The 3,382-nt window shown below is 45.0% G+C and overlaps 2 annotated features.

Annotated features, from left to right (window-relative positions):
• Positions 2,107-2,607: an enhancer, noted in NCBI's record as "H3K4me1 hESC enhancer chr6:151485535-151486035 (GRCh37/hg19 assembly coordinates)". NCBI's record gives its function as "activates a minimal SCP1, AML or CMV promoter by ChIP-STARR-seq in primed H9 embryonic stem cells {active_cell/tissue: H9 hESC(primed)}" and the evidence as "EXISTENCE:reporter gene assay evidence [ECO:0000049][PMID:30033119]".
• Positions 2,608-3,108: an enhancer, noted in NCBI's record as "H3K4me1 hESC enhancer chr6:151485034-151485534 (GRCh37/hg19 assembly coordinates)". NCBI's record gives its function as "activates a minimal SCP1, AML or CMV promoter by ChIP-STARR-seq in primed H9 embryonic stem cells {active_cell/tissue: H9 hESC(primed)}" and the evidence as "EXISTENCE:reporter gene assay evidence [ECO:0000049][PMID:30033119]".

The following is a 3,382-nucleotide window of genomic DNA, read 5'->3' as shown; positions in this document are numbered from 1 at the left end:
GAAGAGGAAAACCAGTGTATCTCCTCTTCTGTGGCTGAAGTCAGGTAAAATGATGCTTTTTATTTATTTATTTATTTATTTATTTTTGAGACGAAGACTTGCTCTGTTGCCCAGGCTGGAGAGCAGTGGTGTGATCTGGGCTCAATGCAACCTCCGCCTCCTGGGTTCAAGTGATTCTCCTGCCTCAGCCTCCCAAGTAGCTGGGATTACAGGCGCCCGCCACCACACCCCGCCAATTTTTGTATTTTTAGTAGAGACGGGGTTTCACCACGTCGGTCAGGCTGGTCTCAAACTCCTGACCTCAAGTGATCCACCCACCTCGGCCTCCAAAAGTGCTGGGATTACAGGCGTTAAGCCACCATGCCTGGCCTAACATGACGCTTTACCTGATTTATAACACAAGATATACAAAGGCACAAAACTAAAATGAGGTCACATGGGTTACCTATTAGATTGGCAAAGGTAAAAAGCTGGTAACGACTGTGTTGGCAAGAGGTTGGGGAAGAGACACTATCACATGTTTTGTTAGTGGGAATACACATTAGTACATTTATGGAAAGTAATTGATGGTATTCATCAAAATTTGCAATGTGCATACCCCTTGCCCCAGAAATGTTATTTCTAGGAATTTTCCTGCAGATGTGCTGGCACATGTACAAGATTGTGGATATACAAGTTTCTTCATTGCAGCTTTGTTTGTAATAAGTAAAAGATTTGAAACAATCATCCATTAATATAGGACTAGTTTAATTCATAACTAATTAATAATACAATGGACTACAAGGCAGTCTTTACAAAAACTAAGCTGTTCTACATGCTTTGCTATTAAAACATCTCCAGGATATATAATTAAATAAAAGAAGCAAAATACAGACTGAAGGTGTAAAGCATGATATACCTTCATTCTGGAAGCTGGATGGAAAAATTATGAATTTTTTTTTTTTTTTTTTGACATGGAGTCTTGCTCTGTTGCCAGGCTGGAGTGCAGTGGTACAATCTCGGCTCACTGCAACCTCCGACTCCCTGGTTCAAGTGACTCTCCTGCCTCAGCCTCCCGAGTAGCTGGGATTACAGGCACATGCCACCAGGCCCAGCTAATTTTTGTATTTTTAGTAGAGACGGGGTTTCACCATGTTGGCCAGGATGGTCTCAATCTCCTGACCTCGTGATCTGCCTGCCTTGGCCTCCCAAAGTGCTGGGATTACAGACATGAGCCACCGCACCCAGCCGAATATTTTTGATTATATATGCATAAAATATCTCTGGAAGAAAATATAGGAAAGTAACAGTCTTTGGGGAGAGAAATAACATGGATGGTAAGGAAGAGAGTCTTAACTTTTACTATAAACCCTTTTGTTTGTTTTTTTTTTGAGACAGAGTCTTGCTCTGTCACCCAGGCTGGATTGCAGTGACGCGATCTTGGCTCACTGCAAGCTCCACCTCCTGGGTTCACGCCATTCTCCTGCCTCAGCCTCCTGAGTAGCTGGGACTACAGACGCCCGCTACCACGCCCAGCTAATTTTTTGTATTTTTAGTAGAGACAAGGTTTCACTATGTCGGTCAGGTTGATCTCGATCTCCTGACCTCTTGAGCCGCCCGCCTCAACCTCCCAAAGTGCTGGGATTACAGGTGTGAGCCACCATGCCCGGCCTATACACCCCTTTTTACCTTTTGTTTTGTACCATGTGTGTATTACCTATTCAATTAATAAATAATTGAAAAAATATATATAAAAGGTGTGTAAGAAGAAGGGTCCATGAGAGGCTGAGAAACAATGACCTGCAAAGTAAGAGGAAAGGCGAGAGAATTGTAGCTGTAGTCAGGGGTGAGACTTCCAACAAGTTTCCTGTAGGAACCCTGAGCCCACCCATAGATAGCACAATGAGGCCAAGAGGATAAAGCCTGAAGAGTACCCTCTGGGCTTGGTGATTCCCGTGCAGATTCTTAGGAATGATTTTGGTTGACACAAAATCCTACTCTGTAATTTTTATTTTTATTACTTATTTATTTACTTATTTTTGAGACAGAGTCTCGCTCTGTCACCCAGGCTGGAGTACAGTGGCACAATCTCGGCTCACTGCAACCTCCACCACCCGGGTTCAAGCAATTCCCCTGCCTCAGCCTCCCAAGTAGCTGGGATTACAGGCATGCACCACCATGCCCAGCTAATTTTTGTATTTTTAGTAGAGACAGGGTTTCACCATGTTGGCCAGGCTGGTCTCGAACTCCTGACCTCAGGTGATCTGCCCACCTCGGCCTCCCAAAGTGCTGGGATTATAGGCATAAGCCACCGCACCCAGCCCTCTGGCTGTACAATTTTTAAAATAGCCACCCAACATCTTTTGGACAGTTTTCCTCTCTTTGGGGAATTTCATGCACTGTGAATCTTGACTTCCCTTGGAGGAAACAGGAAACTCACTTTCCCTTGGGGTTAGGGCTTTGTCATTGACACAGGCTCTGTCAATGAGACGAGCCCAGCCGAGACTTCATTTAGAAAGAGGGTAATGCAAGGAAACAGCTCTTGTGAGAGGGTGGTGTGGGTGCCTGGCTTTGGGGCAGTGGCGGTGGAGATTCTGGCACACACTGGCAGTGCCCGGGCCTGGCACGGCATTTCATCTAAGCATTCTGAATGAAAAACACATGGCCTGCCACATTTGTGCATAATTGGTCCGGAGTGGTGCTAGCTGCAAAGCCCCACACCTGATTCTTGGACTCCCACGGAAATCTTGGTAGTATATTTTAAAATATACAGGTGGTGGCTCACGCCTGTAATCCCAGCACTTTGGGAGGCCGAGGTGGGTGAATCACCTGAGGTCAGAAGATCGAGACCAGCCTGACCAACATGGTGAAACCCATGTCTGCTAAAAATTCCAAAAAAAAAATTAGCTGGGTGTGGTGGTGGGCACCTGTATTCCCAGCTATTCAGGAGTCTGAGGCAGGAGAATCCCTTGAACTCAGGAGGTGGAGATTGCAGTGAGCCAAGATCACGCCACTGCACTCCAGCCTAGGCAACGAAGTGAGACTCCACTGCAAAAAAAAAAAAAAAAAGAAACTCAATAAATTCCTTTTTTGTTTTAAATAACTTACAATGGATTTTGTAGTGATTTTTTTTGGAGGGCGGATGTAGGTTAGAAAGACATCAAGCAGCCTGGGCAACAAAGAAACACTTCATCTCTACAAAAAATAAAAATTTGCTGGGCTTGATGGTGTGTAGTAGTAGTCTCAGCTACTTGGGAGGCTGAGCTGGGAGGATCACTTCAGCCCAGAAGTTGGAGGCTATAGTGAGCTATATCACACCACTGCACTCTAGCCTGGGAGACAGAGCGATACCCCATCTTAAAAAAAAAAAAAAAAGTCAAGGGTAAATACGGTTGTTGGAAGC

Source organism: Homo sapiens, chromosome 6 (genome assembly GCF_000001405.40).
Source record: "Homo sapiens chromosome 6, GRCh38.p14 Primary Assembly".
In the NCBI taxonomy this organism is placed as follows: Eukaryota; Metazoa; Chordata; class Mammalia; order Primates; family Hominidae; genus Homo; species Homo sapiens.
This window is presented reverse-complemented; position numbering and strand designations above follow the sequence as displayed.